The following is a 17,988-nucleotide window of genomic DNA, read 5'->3' on the forward strand; positions in this document are numbered from 1 at the left end:
TGCCTCCCAGGTTCAAGCGATTCTTCTGCCTCAGCCTCCCAAGTAGCTGGGATTACAGGCATGTGCCACCACGCCCAGCTAATTTTTTTGTATTTTTAGTAGAGACGAGGTTTCACCATGTTGGTCAGGCTGGTCTCGAACTCCTGACCTCAGGTGATCAGCCTGCCTCGGCCTCCTGAACTGTTGGGATTACAGGCATAAGCCACAGTGCCGGCCAATCCTGTTTTTCTATAGCGTCCCAAACTCCTAAGGTCTTCTTCACAGAATAAGTGTTCAATGTATGTTTTCTACTATTATTTTTACTAAAGCATTGGGATGAGGTGAAAACCAGTTGGTTAAATCACACTGTAAACATCCTGTAAATAGTCTCTTTTGAGCCTCACAATTCTGCCAGGTATGTTGTATCAATTCCTATATTATTAGATGGAGAATCAGAGCTTTTACACCTGTTAAATACATCTAATCCAAAATAGTTTACTGTCTACTGAGTTTAAAATCAGCCAGAAATACTTCTACAGATTTTTTGAGAAACAGTTTCTGAAGTAAATATCAAAGCGTCCTTATCACCAGCTAGTGTAAACCAAAAAGACAGCAAAAATTTGAAAAAAAGAAAGAAAGAAAGAAAAATCTATAGAAATGCAGGTGTAATGAATGGTTAATAATACTGCCCCTTTTCTAATATTCCCAGTGGTTTCCATGGTGGTGGATCTCAATGAGAAGGAAAAAGAATGTTACATTCTTGTTTTCTTAATAACTAAATAGGGAACCATTAGAATTTTTGTTTAATCCACGAAGGAGATAGAATTAAGAATACAATGTAGTTAAAGGGAGATTACACAGAGGTAGTTAACCTTCTCAGAAAGTCTTTTCCTTTTTTAAATCTGTTGCTCATTAGCTGCTGTTTTTTTTTTTTTTAAATCTTCTCTTTTCTGTATTCCTTTTTTGGTGAAGATTTGTGGCTATAATCATTTCGCTAAATGCTCTGTAGTAAAGTAAAAGTAGAAATAGTTTGTTGGCAGAAATACATCATTAAATGTTTCCATTCATAAATATGAATAAGAATAAAAATAATAAATAATATGATATTCATGATATATAATATACTTAATTTAAATATTACAGTACAAAGTACATATGTTATAGTGTATATATTATATTTACAAATTTACATTGTTATACAGTAATAAATATTATGACTTTAATTTCTATTGAATATTTCATATGTAATTCATACTGTACCTATGCTAGCTCTTTAATTTTGCTCCTAGATAATTTGGTTACCCTCAATTTATAGATAAAGACACAAATATTCTGAGTGAAGAAATGAATTTTTTAGAGTCACCCACAGAAATTGCAGAGCTAATAGGTGAATCTTGGTCTCTGACAGAAAAGTTCATAATCTTACCAATGTTCATGTTGGTGATGATAAAAGAGAAGCAAATCAACAATAATTGTTATCATATCTTGAATGCTTGACATATGCCGCAAATGCTAATACAGTATGCACTGTGCTAAATATTTTACTTCCATTATCTAAGGAAATAGTCTCAGAGAAATCAAATGATTTCATCAAGTTTGTAGTTAGGGACTTTCCAGTGTATGCCATATCTTAAGACTTTTCTTCAATTTAATGATCTCTCTGTTATTTTGAAGAAACTGTGTACCTTTCTGGTGACAAGATCGTTTCCTTGACAACATTTTGACCAGGCTCCTCTGAACTCCCTCTTTGACTAGGCCAACACTTGAGCTCCTTTGTTCTTTCTTACAGAGTCCAACTGTGCAAAGAGTGCATCCTGGTAAGTGGGTTCAGCAAGACCCATCTCCGCCCTCAATATCTGATCACCCTCAATATCTGATTGGGTTCCTCATCCTCCCCCATCACCCAGGTGATGTGTGATTACCTTGGCCTGCCTTCAGCAAGAATCCTGTTAGGTGGGTTTAGGCAGAATCTCCCCTTATGTCTGATACTCTCTTTTAATAATTTTCCATTCACCAGATCCTTACTCTGGTTCTTGGCTATACATTTCTTGTTGCATTCAGAATTAAGCTTGAGTCTATGTTGATACCTTTTTTTGCCTTTACCATAGGTTTTTGTTGTTGTTGTTGTTTTCTGAATAAAATCTGTTTTTATTTTATTTAACTTTAACTACTGTCCAGCTCTGGTTTTTCTTAACACTCTCAGGTGAGAGGTGTCAAGATTCTCACTATTATGAAAGATTAGAGGCTGAAAATTGAAAAGACCTTAGTTCTATAATTAACAAGCCACGATTTTATTGCTGATCTGACACATTTATGACCAGCTTTGAGGGCCGAGTCAAGTTATTTGATTCCTCTATGCTTGGAATTTATTGTCAATAAAGAAGTAAAGTAAATTTGTGTTAGAGTACGTCTGTAAGTGACATTCACTATATCTCAATGTTGAGGAGTTTAGGCACGCTTGTGCAATGGATGCTATTATTGCTCAGCTGCATTGCTTTCAAAAATTGTATTATCACACAGTAGGATGAAAGCAGCATATTATCTAAGAGAAGTAGAAGAGCCAGAACCTGGAATCTGCCCTGACCTGATTTCTTGCAAAATTTCATTTGTTCTTATCTGAGTGTGTAATCTGGGCCTCCATAAAGGCCTTATTAACACTGATTTCTTATTGATCTGTCATATGCCAACGTTCACTTGCAACGTACTTGACATTTGGCTATCATAAAAAAAGGGAATTGGCAGAAATGTGTCAACTTAACTTTTGACCAAAACGCTATGTAATTGAACGGGAAAGCAATGTTAACATTACGCATCTGATTCCAGCTCATGTGCTCAATGGGCTAACATTTTAGAGCACCGACCCTTAAAATTCTAATGCATGTCAAATCGGTATGTAAATATCAGCAATTCTGGGGAGATTTGCAAGGTACGGCCCTATGCTAATGAGCAATATCTTAAGGAGCTGGAGGTTTTTCTTTTCCTCTGCGATATGAATTGGAAAATTGGAAAGCAGGTCAACTTACAAAGTTGTTTGGAGACTGTGAGCTGTTTGTTAATAGATGCATAGTGCCTAGACTATGTAGGACCTAGTGTCATGTACCAGTGACAATAAATAGCAGATGAATATTAATTCCTTTCACAGCCACTTCCTTATCTCCAATGATAATAAAACAAAATTAAACGGCATTAATTCCCAAATAATAAAACTCAGATATAGAGTTAACTAAGGAAAATATAAAACATGCACGCTTTATATGCAAGGGCAGAAAAGTGTTCTTATTCAGCTTATCTGGGAAACTTGCAAGTTTAGAAATGAAAACGTTCTCCTCTTTCCAAAAGCATGACTTGATGTTTGTCCTTGATCTTTATCTGTGAACAGGCAAAAGCATCATTTAAAGTATGCTTTTTACTCATTGTCCTGTATTCAAAATACTTTCATTATAGAATGGCTGATACTCCTACTGGGAATAGTTGAGGAACTCATCCTGATCTAATCCATTCTAATGTGCTCTAGTCCCAGTGCTGTTATTTGTTCTGTGTAAAGTTTCTTAAGCTCTATGTACTATCAAATGGAATAAGACATAACTCATTCTTCTAAATGTTATTATGAGAACTAAACATAAAATGCTTTAGCAAACAGAAAGCACTGTGTAGACATAAGTAATACAATTAGCAGTATCATTCATTTGTAGTTTGCAACACAACAAACAATGCTGCCCCTCCAAAGTTTGAAAGGCATCTTGTCTTCGGTCAATGAAAGTATTCTGGAAAGAAGCTCCTCCACATTTAAATTATATTTTTAAAGCAGCCTATTAAAATGTCTTTGAAAAGTTTACACTGCAGTTTCTCTTGCATATATGGATCTTTTCCTCTCGTAAAATCCCAGGGCATTTCAAATAAGGAAAGGTCATTTAGCTCATCTGGTCGATTATAGCTGTGATCCATTTCCCCTACAAGAAGCAAGGGAAACGCTTCTCAATGTGTATCAGAGAAAAAAACTCTTAGGCCATTAGGACTAAAGCATTGCATATGCCGCAAGCACTAGACACCTAATTTCATCACAGACGATTGATGATTCTGCCATCCGGGCAGAATCAAGCCCGGGATACTGGGACTCAGTGCTTCAGCAGGGAGGCAGGTTCACTGCAGCCTTCATCCAGTTTAAAAAATATTTTATTGACACATAGAGCATTCAGAGTCATAAAAATATATCATGTTTATCACTGCTTTTATGGCATGCATAGATATGACACAGGGGCATTGAGCCATACAGCATTAGACAAGCGTTTATTTCACCCTGAGCTGCTGGGAAGAATGCAGAGCTCAGCTTCTATCCCAGGAGTGGAGCCAATAGGACAGATTTCATCAGAAATAAGCATTTAAGAAAAACACAAAAATCAATGCAGACGTATATATCAGTGAAGTGTCCTGATTGGGGTTTTCTACGTGCTAAACAAGCCTGTTCCCGATACATTAGTGCATATTTCTGCCAAAGGCATTAGACTGCTAAACTGGAGATTTTGAAAAAATGATCATTTTTCATGAATGTGGGAATACAGCCAGAAAATTTACCTTTAAGCACTTTAACTAACACCCGTAGTTTTTGATTACATTATCACCCAGACTCTGATATATATTTTTATAGAGAGCTATTTCCTGAAGAATTATGATCCGAGACATTTGGTTTTTGAGTTACCAAGTGGACAGTTAAATGTGGATCTAGATTTAACGAGCGCGAAGCCCTCCTTCATCTAAAGCCAGGTTAGGGCAAAGCTGGAGGGACAGAGTGTTACAATGAGAACGGAGAGTAGACTTACATTTGCATATAAATGGCAAATGTAAGTAGGTGGAAAGGAAGCATTCAGAAATTTGCATCTGATTTAAGCCTTGTCCTTATTCAGCAGATTGCAAGTGTCACAGCTTGTTGGGCTGTTAGAAAGGTAGCCAGGGGTGAAGACAATGTTGGAAGAGATGAAGGAAAATGAAGTCTTTATAAACAGGGACATGCACATCAAGTGCTCAGAGAAAGTTTCAAGGCCTTCCCTTGGAGTGATACACCCGTGGCCTGGCTAACTGTTTAGCTCTCTTGGAGGCAGAGAAACTCTCCTTTTACATTATACTACCCTAGTGCTACCTAACTTCTACCTGCTTCCGAAAAGGTTACTATTTTTTTCCTGTGAAACAGCATCGTAGTGTTTTTTTGTGTGTTAAAACACATGCATATGACTTTTTCCTCCAGGGGACTTAAACTCCTTCAAGGCAGAGACCATCTCTTTAATGTATATGTATCCCATAATTTTCACTAGTCCATAAGAGTGCAGCAAATGACATACATTGGGCCTTAAATAAATAGTGAACAAATGGAAGAAGAAAGGAAGAAAAGCTGCAGTGCAGAATGACATCATTATGTTTTGTTTGTGTGCAACATGCATGAACTAAGAGGCATCCTCCTCAAGAGAAACTACTGAAAATAGAAAATTAATTTTATACTGAATAATGGGGGAGAATATGGCTTCCTTAAGAAAACAAAAACAAAAATCAAACTTCCTTTGTTGTAAAACTACCTATCCCATATTCCAAATTATACAAATTTAGCACTTGATTTTCTCTGGGTCCAAGCCAGCCATACATGATAGGGTAGGCTCTCAGTATCAGATGACTACAGCCTCACGTCACAGTATAAAGCAAGAAAAGGTTCTGTGTCAGGAAAAATAAAGATATACGTTATTTTGTTTCACTGTGTTTAAAATCTGGTATCAGATGCCATATAATGAGCTAGGCAATAGCAGGTTCCTTTTGTAATAACCTGGCAAGACATATTGAATTCTCTTCTGTATTCCAAAATGAGACATGCACGGAAAGAATTGTTCAGCTCCTTTGCGCTGTGGAGTCATTTACCTGTTCAGGATGGCTTCCCGGAGGATTGTAAAGAATGGCAGGCAGGCACTTTTCCCTTGGTGGAAAAATTGCTCATGTAGAGTTTAACTTGTCTCTGTAGCTTCCAACATACTTCTGAAGTGTGCTACTTAGAGGAGAAAAAAAAAGGTGTTTTCAACCCAGAGGTATTAAAAAAAAAAGAAAGGAAAAATGATGTGTGTTTCATCCCATCTAATCCCTCCTATTTCAAAGCAGCAGTGTTTAAAGAGAAGAGCCCTAGCTGCATACTAGTCAGTGTCTTGCCTGGCGGAGTGCAAAGCGGTACCATGAAGAAGTTCTGTCATTTTCCTGCTGTCTAACCTTGGGTAACTTACTTAACTTCTCTGTTGTCTCCATTTCTTCATCTGTAAAAAGGGGGATAATAAGATCTTTATTTCTTAGGAACAAAAGAGTTGACACCTATATAGTCCTTGAACAGTGCCTCTCTCATAGTAAGTGCTCCGTGTGTTAAATACTGTTCCTGAGGCCAAAACGGTGGTTTGGCAGCCTTGGACAAAATGTGTTTTTTCTGTTTCTTTTGCATGTCATTCGTGATGTGACAAAACAGCTATCTACTTCAAACTCTTCTTTTCAGTCAAACCCACAGCCATTGTTTCCCAATTCATAGCAACTTCTTTACTCACATCTTCCAAGATGACAAGGTTCCTATTAAAAGTATGAGTATCCATCCGGGTGCAGTGGCTCATGCCTGTAATCCCAGCCCTTTAGGAGGCCAAGGCAGGCAGATCACGAGGTCAGGAGTTTGAGACCAGCCTGACCAACATGGTGAAACCCGGTCCTTACTAAAAATACAAAAAATTAGTCGGGTGTGGTGGCACGCACCTGTAATTCCCACTACTCAGGAAGCTCAGGCAGGAGGGATCACTTGAATCCAGGTGGCAGAGGTTGCAGTGAGCTGAGATTGTGACATTGCACTCCAGCCTGGGTGACAGAGTGAGACTCCATCTCAAAAAAAAAAAAAAAGTATGAGTATCCAACATCTATGAAACACTTATCAACCACTTTGGAAATCTGCTGAAACAACTTCAGTGAGTCTTCTCTGCCCACTGAATGAAGTGTCAACTCCTTGGGCTTAGATTCAAGTATTTACAGCTCTGATAAAGCGGTCCTCAGCTTTTCCATCCAAATTCTCCTTCTGCTTCCATCCTCAACCTTGACCTACAGCCAATGCAGCCTGCTTATTATTCTGCACACCTAGGCTGTGTATGTGACCTATGTTTCTCTCTTTCTTTTCTTTCTTTTCTTTTTCTTTCTTTCTTTTTCTTTCTTTCTTTCCTTTCTCTCTTTCTCTCTCTCTCTTTCTCTCTCTCTTTTCTTTTCTTTCTTTCTTTCTTTCGTTCGTTCGTTCTTTCTTTTCTCTTTTTTAAGACACAGTGTAATGGTTAATATTGAGTGTCAACTTGATTGGATTGAAGGATGCAAAGTATTATTCCTGGATTTGTCTGTGAGGGTGTTGCCAAAGGAGATTAACATTTGAGTCAGTGGACTGGGAGAGGCAGACCCACCCTCAATCTCGGTGGACACCATCTAATTAGCTGCCAGCCCGGCTAGGATAAAAGCAGACAGAAGAATGTGGAAGGAATAGACTGGCTGAGTCTTCTGGCCTCCATCTTTCTCCTGTGCTGGATGCTTCCTGTCCTTGAATATCAGACTCCAAGTTCTTCAGCTTTTGGACTCTCGGACCTACACAAGTGGTTTGCCAGCAGCTCTTGGGCCTTTGGCCACAGACTGAAGGCTGCACTGTCAGTTTCCCTACTTTTGAGGTTTTTGGACTTGGGTTGGCTTTCTTGCTCCTCAGCTTGCACATGGTCTATTGTGGGACTTCACCTTGTGATCTTGTGAGTCAATACTCCTTAATAAACTCCCTTTCATATATACATCTATCCTATTAGTCCTGTCCCTCTAGAGAACCCTGACTAATACAGACAGGGTCTCACTCTTCTGCCCAAGCTGAAGTGCAGTGTTGCAGTCGTAGCTCACTGCAACCTCAAATGCCTGGACTCAAGTGATCTTCCCATCTCAGCTTTTCAAGTAGCTGGGACTACAGGTGCATGCCACCACGTCGGGTTAATTTTTCTATTTTTTGTAAAGATGGGGTCTCACTCTGTTGCCAAGGCTGCCGTCCTCCCACTCAGCTTCCCAAAGTGCTGGAATTATAGGCGTGAGCTGCCACACACCTACTTCTGTTTTTTGTACCTGAAAGGGCTATTCTCTACGCTTACATCGGTTCAATTCTTGCCTTTTCTTTAAGGCTAAACTTACGTTGTTATTTCCTATGAGAGCTTGTTCTCGATTCACCCAGGCAGAAAGAATCACTTCCCCCTCCGGATTTTGATATCATTTTCTCACGCCTTCCAAATGGAAGATTTTACTCTGAGGCTCACTTACTTGTGTATCCATACAACTTCCGTCAATAAGTCATATGCCTCCTGAGAACTGAAGCTAAAAAAAATGACACTCTCCTTGCCCACAGCAGGCACTTGAAAAATATTTCATGAATCAATGAATCTACCTACCTACCACACAGAAACAGGGGTTTGACAAAAGGTTCCCTTTCCTAATACAATTAGTATAGACATCTCATAATATTCCTTCAGTGAATACTTATTGAGAATCAAACATCATCAAGGTTTGAGATTAAAGTCTGTGATCTTAAAGACTGGGAGACATTTGAAACCTCTTCTTGAAGGCTATATTTAAATAAATAAATAATCGTTTAATAAGCTGTAGCCTTGGACTATATATATAGATAACTGCCTGAGGGACATTCAGGCTGGCTTCACAGGAGAGGTAGGATTTAGACTGAATCCTAGAAGTTTTCCAGATGAAGTCATTGAGAATGGCAACCATGGCTCCATTGAGAATGGAGCAAAATCAATATTCAAGACAGTGAGTTATGAAAGGAGCAGGTAAATCATGATTAGAAGAGTAATTGGCATTTATTAGGCACTTATTTTGTGTCAAGTGCTAAGCTAGTTTCCTTCAATGTCATCATAAACCTAGAAATTAGGTGCAAATATTATTCCCATTTCACCAAGAAGAAACTGTAGTGTATTAGCCAGAGTTCTCCAGAGAAACAAAACAAATAAGAAAGAAGGTAAGAGGGGGTGGAGGGAGAGTTGCACTCAAGTTTGAAGAAAGAATTCGCTCTTCTTTGAGAAGGGCAATCCTTTCTCTTAAGGTCTTCAATTGATGAAATGAAGCTCATCTATATTATAGAGATAATCTGCTTTACTCAAACTCCATCATTTGGAATATTAATCCCACCTCAAAATCACCTTCACAGGAACATCCAGAACAGTGTTTGACTAGATATCTGGGTGCCATGGCCTAGCCAAGCAGATAAAATTAACCATCACATGTGGCCTGTAGAGATCAAGTCATCCTGTCATGAACACCAAGGGAAAATTCATACAGCAAATATGAGGCTGAGCTGGGATTTAAACTTCTACTTGATGTTGCCTAGTTTGCAGACCCAGGAACAGGATATATTTCTGGAAAGAGCTGGTGGGTCATATTCAAGCCAGGCTCCTTAAGGCAAAGCTGAGAGTTAGAAAATGAAAGACTTGTTACAACTGCCAAATACGAATGGTTAGGCCAAGAGTTGGTAGTGAAGCAGCAGAAACAGAAGCAATGCGAGAATTGGAGTTGCACTAAGAAATTGCTTTGCAATGTGTAATCACTGTCGTGGCCAGCTGAATGCATGGGTGCATTGGCATGTTAGCCTGGATTATAGGAGAAGTGAACTTGAAGGCAGGCTGACTAGAATCAGGAGGACTGGCAACTCTACCTAGCTTGGTAGGAGTCTAAGCTAAGGGTAAGAACAAAATAGCTAATGTAGATGAGAGAGAAGTTAAGTTCAAGTGCACACAGCTGGCACATGGTAAAACTCTTGCCCCTATTTGGCATCTTCATTTAGTTAGTTTAACACTGGCCAGGTTTTCGGGCCCACTGGGCATATGAAGAAAAGGAGAGAGATACCAAGAAACATTAAGAGAATCAAGAAAAAAAAAATTCAAGGGAGCTATCCAATAAGAGATGCTAGGCAGTAATGTGTCCAGTAAGTTGTCAAAGTCATGAAAAGATACATGAGAAAAAACAAAATCTACATGAGAAAGTTATCCCATCCTGTGCGATAAAAAGTACTCTACACAGGTGAAATAAATAATACATAAAATAAAAATCAAGGTACCTACACCGATTAGCAAGGCACTACACTATGCTCCTCAGATACGTAACCTAATTTCATCCATTAAATGTCATCAAAAACAGGTATTTGTATCCTTTCTCCTTCAGGAAGATTAAGTAGATTACCCAAGGGCCAGTAGCAGGTGATAACAGACATAGTATGTAAGTCCACAAATGGCCATTTCCAAATCTCATGTTATTTTTTTTCAATAGGGCCACCCTTTGACAAAAGAATAGTCCATGTACAGCGGTTATTTCCTGATTATTAGAGGTGAGAAGATGTCTAGTCATTAACATTAAAAAAAAAAAAAAAGAGCTCTGTTGCAGGGCTCGGGGAACTTTGAAAAATGTCAGTCACCTATCTACAGGACATTAGTCTACAGGTAGAACTTTTCACACATGACCTGAGAATACCTATCCACCATCCACTCCAGACTGTAGAAAACCTGGCAGCATCCCAAGTTCCTCTTACTTCCAGTGGAGAAACTGAGGGTTGTCCCAAGAATCTCCCCCAACTCTCTACCCTCATTGTTTCCTGTCACAGTGATTCTGTTGGCAGGAGTCTGAGTGGATGTCTTTCTAGTTCTAGGCCAGATGTCTTACATGTGGGAGCTGCAAATGGCAACTCTGTGTTTAATGAGTTACTGCTAACCTTCTAATTCCTGATGAATCAGCGAGAGTCAGAGAGCAATTTCCCATTATATTCTAGTGGATCAGAGCACAAAATATCAGCCTGCTGTGTGTGTCATTCATATCCGAAACCAGCTTTAAAAGCCCAGGTAAAGAGTTCAATAAATTTAAGGAAATTGCAATTGCTGATAAATTATAGACACTTCAGCTGTCTGTATATTTCTCTATCAGCATATAAACGACATGATGAAAGCAAGAAAACTGATTATTTTATAAACTGTAATAAGGTAATATAGTTAGAAAATTTCCAAAAAGTAATTTAAACTTCCAAGTTAACTGATAGGAAACTGTTACTGAAAATCATCATATATTCCCACTCTTTAAAAAAATTTGTGTAAAGACTATTACTTTCCATTTAAAAAAAATCTGTTTTACTTTTCATGTCTGCATTGCCTGATTATGACATAAAATAATTTTATGATAAGTATGAGCTATCAGAGAAGGCAAAGGAATCTTCCTCTATTTGTATCTTCAGGAAAAGATTACAGAAATACATGTAATGTTTACACAATCACATGCCCAAAGACCAGCCTCTGAACCACTATGTATAATAGCAGATATTTTTGGGGCAACCATTATGTGCTAGACTAGGGATCTAAAGTGATGAGACTATAATGCCTACTCCAACCGAAGGCAAAACATGGAGGAAAGAGAAATAAGCGAGCAGGCAGTTTTATGCATTTTAACAGTGCATTCAACATGAATAAGATAGATGGATGGATGGATGAATGGATAATGGAATAAGAGTTGCTGTCATGGATGTTTACAGTTCGGTGTCCTTTCTAAGTTCATTTGTTGAAGCCCTAATCCCCAGTGTGACTACATTTGGATATAAGATCTTTTAGGGGGTAATTAAGGTTAAATGAGGTCATAAGAGTGAGGTACTAATCCAATAAGACAGGTTTCTTATAAGAAGAGAGAGAAACACCAGAGTGCTCTTGCTATCTCTCTTTCTCTCCCTCCCTTCCTTCATGTGCACAGAGGAAAGTCCATGTGAAGGTCATAGCAAGACTGCGGTCATTGATAAGCCAGAGAGAGAGGCCTCACCAGAAACCAACTCTGCTGGGGCCTTAATCTTGGACTTCTGGGCTCCAGACCTCTGAGAAAATGAATTTTGGTTGTTTAAGTCATGCAGTCATTGGTATCTTCTTATGCCAGACTGAGCAGGGTCCTACAGATAGATAGGTAGATAGCACTGTGGAATCAGAGTATGGGTTATAGAAATCTCTGCTTGGGTAACAAGGAAGACTTCAAAGGGAAATTCAATATTTTTTTCCTCTTTGATTTGCTTAAGTTATAAATGCAATACATACTCCTTATAACTTTGCAGCAACATAGAAGGCATATAAAATTTGCAAATATGTAAGTGTTCTATTTGTGCATGACTCTTCCAAAGCAGGCACTCTTAAAGAGCTCAGTTGAATTTTTCCAGATCACTTTAAGGGAGCTGATTTGCAAGGGACAGAGGGCATTCCATATAGGAATGCTGGAAGGTAACACAATTGGAGCAAAATGAAGGGCATGTGCAAAAGCTGAGATGAAAAAGCAGAAAGGAATGAAGCAGAACCTCTCACATGAACTGGCAGCAGGTGTGTGTTCAAGGGTGCCATGCATCAGGCCATCAGCTTATACGTGAAATGGCAGGAACCAAGTCATGAAGGCACTATATGGGGAATTGGACTAGAGATAGGAATAGACAGCCTAAAGAAAAAGAAAATAGCTTATAAACACAGGAAGAGATCCTTAACTTCACTCAAAATTAGAGAAACACAAATTAAAACTACATTAAGATACCAGTTGTCATCTTTCTGCTTGTCAAAACTCTAAAATTTTTATGAAGTACTTTGTTGAGGAGGCTGTGTAAATACAGTACGCTTAGACATTGCTGTTGGGAATGCAAAATGGTACAACCTTATGCAGGGGAATTTGAAAATAGCTAGTAATATTATGTAAACAGTTGCCCTTTGACCAAGCATTTCTACTTCTGGGAATATATCACAAAGATACACTGGTGAAATATAAAAATATATATAAACAAGGAATTCAATGTAGTATTTTCTGTAAAGGTAAAATACGGGAAATAATCTAAATATTTGCCAATGAAGAACTAGTTAAATAAACCATGGTACAGCTGCATTATGGAATACCCTGAAGCTGTAAGAGAAATAAGAAATGATTCTATATAATACAGGTGATCACCAGGATCTACTAATAAGTGAAAAATTAAACAAGCAAAGTGAAGGAAAGAATATTTAGTGAGTTACCATTTATTCTACAACACAGTTTGGAATATATAGAGAAAACCATTATATATAAATATCCATATATATATATCCATATATATCCATATATATATATATGTTTGCTTATATTTTAAAAAATGAAAGGATGAACAACACCAACAAAATTAAATGGCTACCATTAGGGGCCATTTTGCAGGGGACTGGAATGGAAGCTGAATGCTTTTGAAGATAACTTTTGTAAATATTTGAAAAGATGCAAATATTTGACATTTACAAAAATAAATGAATAAGACAAAGCATGAAATTTGGAAGAAAAATGAAATGAAAGAACCTAACTACATATAAGTTAGCTGTCATAACCACACAAAATGGAACCATTCCATGTCACCTTAATTTAACTAGCATTCATATTGGGATATATCCTAAGGTAAAACAGTAGAAAACAAAAAACAAACAAACAAAAACCTCCTACTTTTAGTAATCATCAAATCATCATATTGATGTCGAAGCTGGAAGTGAGTCTATGCTAAGTATATTGGCAAATGAAGTAAGTGAATAATTATATTGGTGTTCTTGACAACTGTGATTTGGGCATGGGGGAAAGACATTGAAAGACTGGTGAGGTCGAGGAAAACCCATATTAAATTGGAAGTGTTTGAATAAAATTATTAGAAATTTTCTCTTTTAAAATACATGCATTGAAACAGCCCAGTACCAATAAGCACTTTTCTAATCCATGTTATATTCTGTAAAGTGTATATCTCATCAAAATGACCCAGTGCTTCTTTGAGAAATGCTTAAATCCAGGATAAAATGGTGCAAACAATTTTGACAGCAAGGAAACTCAAAGACTACTGGAGTCATGTAAACTGACTCAGGAGCCAAAATAAAAAATTTCCCACTAGCCACGTATGGAGTAACTTGAGGATCAGTAAAGATAATTGCAGTGAATTAAAAATAATTTTGTGTTATATCTGTATGCTTTTAATTTTACAAGGAAAGTGTTTAGCTTTAGAAATAAATCTTCATCGTTTATTTTTAGAGGATTGTAGGGGACCAACTCATCAGTTGGAATACTGCTAAGAAAATGGAAATAATCAAACATTTATGTATATTTAAGCATTTTGGTTGCCTTTCTTTACAAACTCTACCTCAGTGTTGTTAAGTAGTTGATGACTAGTAATTTTTCTATTTGAAATAATCCAGATAAGAATAAAGGACCAGTACAGTTAGAATAAATTCAAATGCATTCATGAGTAAAGAGAGATGGAAGTCAAGAAGAAGACTATTCTGTCAACATTAAATTGCACTTTCTAGTTCTAATCTCTCTTTCACAGTTACCAATTCTTGCAGGTCCTCTCTACTTAAATTTCATTCTTATTTCTAGTGGATAAGTTTCCAAAGCAAACAACACGTTTTGTTGGTTTATTTTGTTTTTTTCCATGCATATTTCTTCTCCTGACTTTCTGTTTTTATTATCGGATGACATCATACTTCTCTCATTAATGGAGACTTGAAAGCTTTTCTACCCTTGACTCATTCTCCTTTCCATGATCTCCCATACCAAATATGGTTACCAAGTCCGGTTTATTTTGTCATAGCAATATCTTGAAAACACATCTTTTCTTCATTTTCTTTCTCTGGCCCACATTTAGAGCAGGTAATCAGGGCCTTGGTCTTGGACCTCAGATTACATGGGGTTCTGCTCTGATCTTCCTCTGGAAAACCACTTCACCATAAAATGGAATGTTCCAAAGACCAAGGGAATGTGCTCATCTGAAGTTCACAGATGCTCATTTAGACCACAATGAAGGTACCCAGCACCCTAGACTATCTTGCCCAAGGGCCCCAAGACTACTTCTCTGGGTTGTCCTCCCAAAGACAGACTATCATACCTGATTTGGCTGTTAGGAGAGGGAGTGTGTGTGGAACCTGGCCTCAAATGTCCACATGCTCAAGAGGCCCTTTGTGGTAGAGATGGAGCCTGGGGTTTAAAAGAAGGGGAGTGGGCAAGAGGTGGGGAGTCTCTATTTGAACTCTAGTCCTGTCTTTGTAAACAACAGAAGAAAGCCTGCCAACCATCTAGTGAGACCCTGTCATCTTTCACATGAACTATGATGGTAATCTTGAGACTACAAACCATTCCCTAGAAATTTAGTTCAACCTTTCTAAAAGTCTGGACTTTAAGAACAAGCAGTGTGAGAATGCCCTGATCTCTGATGTATTAGCATGTCTGAGGCAGGGCTGGAAATCTGCATGTGTCACAAGCTCCTTGGTTATTATTCTCCACGTTGGAGTTTATGGTTAAGCGCCTCCTCCCTCCAATGCATTTTATGTACTTTCACCAAACTAGTATTAGTAAGGCTCAGTTCTAATCACACCATCTACTTCTCTGCACCTTGCAATGGGCCTCCATTGCTTAAAAAGCATTAATTAATTATCAAGAGCTCAATTATTATCTTCATGTGACTTTTCCAGGTAATCCGATGCCTTTTCCATAATTTATCTTATAGTTCAGGGATCAGTAAACATTTGGAGTAAAGTGCCAGATAGTAAATATTTTAGGCTTTTCATGCTAGACAGCTATAATGATGCAAATCCACAAAAGCAGCCATAGATAATATGTAAACAAGTAGGCATGGCCGTGTTGCAATAAAACTTTATTCACGAAACAGGATTAGGCCTCAGGCTATAGTTTGTTGACTTCTGATTTGGTTAAACTGACTGACTTGCTCTTCCATGAACCCCACTCTCCATTTGTTCTTGCCATTCCCTCCATTTCTGAACGTCTGTATCCTACTCAAGATTATTTCCCAAAACTAGCTCCTTTAGAGATCTTCCCTGAACATTTTAGTAAAGAGTCCCTTCCATGCCAAAAGCATGGTGCCTGATAGTTCTCACTAGCTTGAATTTTAGTTATGTGTCTACCTGGTCATTTCTCCAGTTTAACAGCCTAAGAGCAAGGATGTTTCTGTTTGTCTTGTAGCACCTGGATTTTTGACTTTATTGTTTATTTAACAAACATTTTGATATAGATGTAGACAGCAGCTGTAGTGGATGAACATTGCTTGTGCCCACTAGTACCCATTAGCCATTCCACTGAAGGGCCAATCCTTCTCTCATTCAATCTCTATGCTACAGATTGAATCAAGCCCAGTGAGGAATCCAGGGTGTACCCCTGAGTCAGTCCTGGACAATCAGAGTGCTGCCTTCTACCCATCATCACTGATTCATGGGAGGATTTAGGCCTAGAGACTACAGCAGCTATTCTGTCACCACTAGGAGCCTGAGAATGAAACCAACGTGAAATAAAAAAGAGAAAACTCATTAGAGAGACTGATTTCTTCAGAAATAAATTGTAGCTGGCTGGGCATGGTAGCTCACACCTGTAATCCTAGCATCTTGGGAGACCAAGGTGGGCAGATTGTCTGAGCTCAGGAGTTTGAGACCAGCCTGGGCAACACGGTGAAACCCCGTCTCTACTAAACACAAAAAAGAAAAAAAAAAATTAGCCAGACATGGTGGCGTGCGCCTGTTTACAGTCCCAGCTACTCTGGAGGCTGAGGCAGGAGATTCACTGGAACCCAGGAGGTGGAGGTTGCAGTAGCCGAGATCACACCACTGCACTCCAGCCCAGGCAACAGAGGGAGACTCCGTCTCATAAAAAAAAAAAAAAAAAGAAAGAAAGAAAACAATTGTAGCCTCTGTAACAAGAACTAGAAATGCCCAAACTTCACTCTGTATTCTCCAAACATTCCCCTACTCCCAGCCTTTTCTTCCACATGAGGCAATAAATTTTCTTTTTTCTAAATTAGTTTGGGTAAGGTTTATTTCATTTGGTACTTTAAAAAACCTTGTTTGGCAATGTAAGTTATCAATAAACCTGAGAGGAATAAATGTAAACAATAACCCTTTATAGGACATAGTAATCGATTTCTAAAAAAAATTGGAAAACTCTCCTATATACAGAGATGATCAAAAAATAAGAATGTAATATATTATATATATATTATTATATATTATATATTTATAATATTAAATATTATAAGTATAATATATATTATAATATATAATGTATTATATTTATAATATATAATAACCCCTTATAGGACATAGTAATTGATTTCTAAAAAACTGGAAAACTCTCCTACATACAGAGATGATCAAATAGTAAGAATGTAATATTGGATCCCATTTTTAAACATTTAGCTGAAATCATTCCAAAGCCTTAGAAATTTGGAAAAAATGGAGAAAAAAAGATATTTTATAACTCATTTCTGAGGCCAACAATGTGTGACATTCATCTTCCATATAACAAGGTGTCTTGGGTGAAAATAACTATTTGGGCCTCTTGAAGCTCTCTCTTAGAAGCTGTGACACTTGTTTTAAGCCTTAAAAAAAATCACAAAGAAGAGAGGGAAGGAAGCCAAAATCTTCAGTGACTAGAACTCAGGCAGTGACATTTACTAAAGCAGCTGCCTCTAGTCAGCCTCTGAGACACAGAGTACACAGAACAAACTGCTTTTTAAACTGTTGTTTTTAGCTGGATGAAAAGTGATGTTTATTCTCATTCATTTCAGGATTTTTCATATCTAAAAGATGGTCTCACCATAAAAATTACTGTTAAAATGGAAGAGCTAATATCGACTTGATCATGAAGCCATAAACATAGTTTAAAAGCTATTTATCAACATAAATGATCTTGCACATCTGACACATTTTTATGCAGAAAAGGGTAGAGTAACAGACCCATGCCTTTATAATGCAGTGCTCTGTAACTAATGATTTTTTGAAAAATAATTTTGCATTTCTCACAATTTTATGAGGAAGCTAATGATTTCAAGTGATGAATTTTTTTTAAACCTTACTCTGTGTGGTTAATGGTTTCTCATAGCTAATAAGAGAATACCACTCTGACAATTTTAGAGAGTATTGTTTTCCAACTAATAAT

General features: G+C 37.7%; 1 annotated feature.

Annotated features, from left to right (window-relative positions):
- Nucleotides 4,517-5,192: an enhancer, noted in NCBI's record as "OCT4-NANOG hESC enhancer chr14:87652958-87653633 (GRCh37/hg19 assembly coordinates)". NCBI's record gives its function as "activates a minimal SCP1, AML or CMV promoter by ChIP-STARR-seq in naive H9 embryonic stem cells {active_cell/tissue: H9 hESC(naive)}" and the evidence as "EXISTENCE:reporter gene assay evidence [ECO:0000049][PMID:30033119]".

Source organism: Homo sapiens, chromosome 14 (genome assembly GCF_000001405.40).
Source record: "Homo sapiens chromosome 14, GRCh38.p14 Primary Assembly".
NCBI classification, from domain to species: Eukaryota; Metazoa; Chordata; class Mammalia; order Primates; family Hominidae; genus Homo; species Homo sapiens.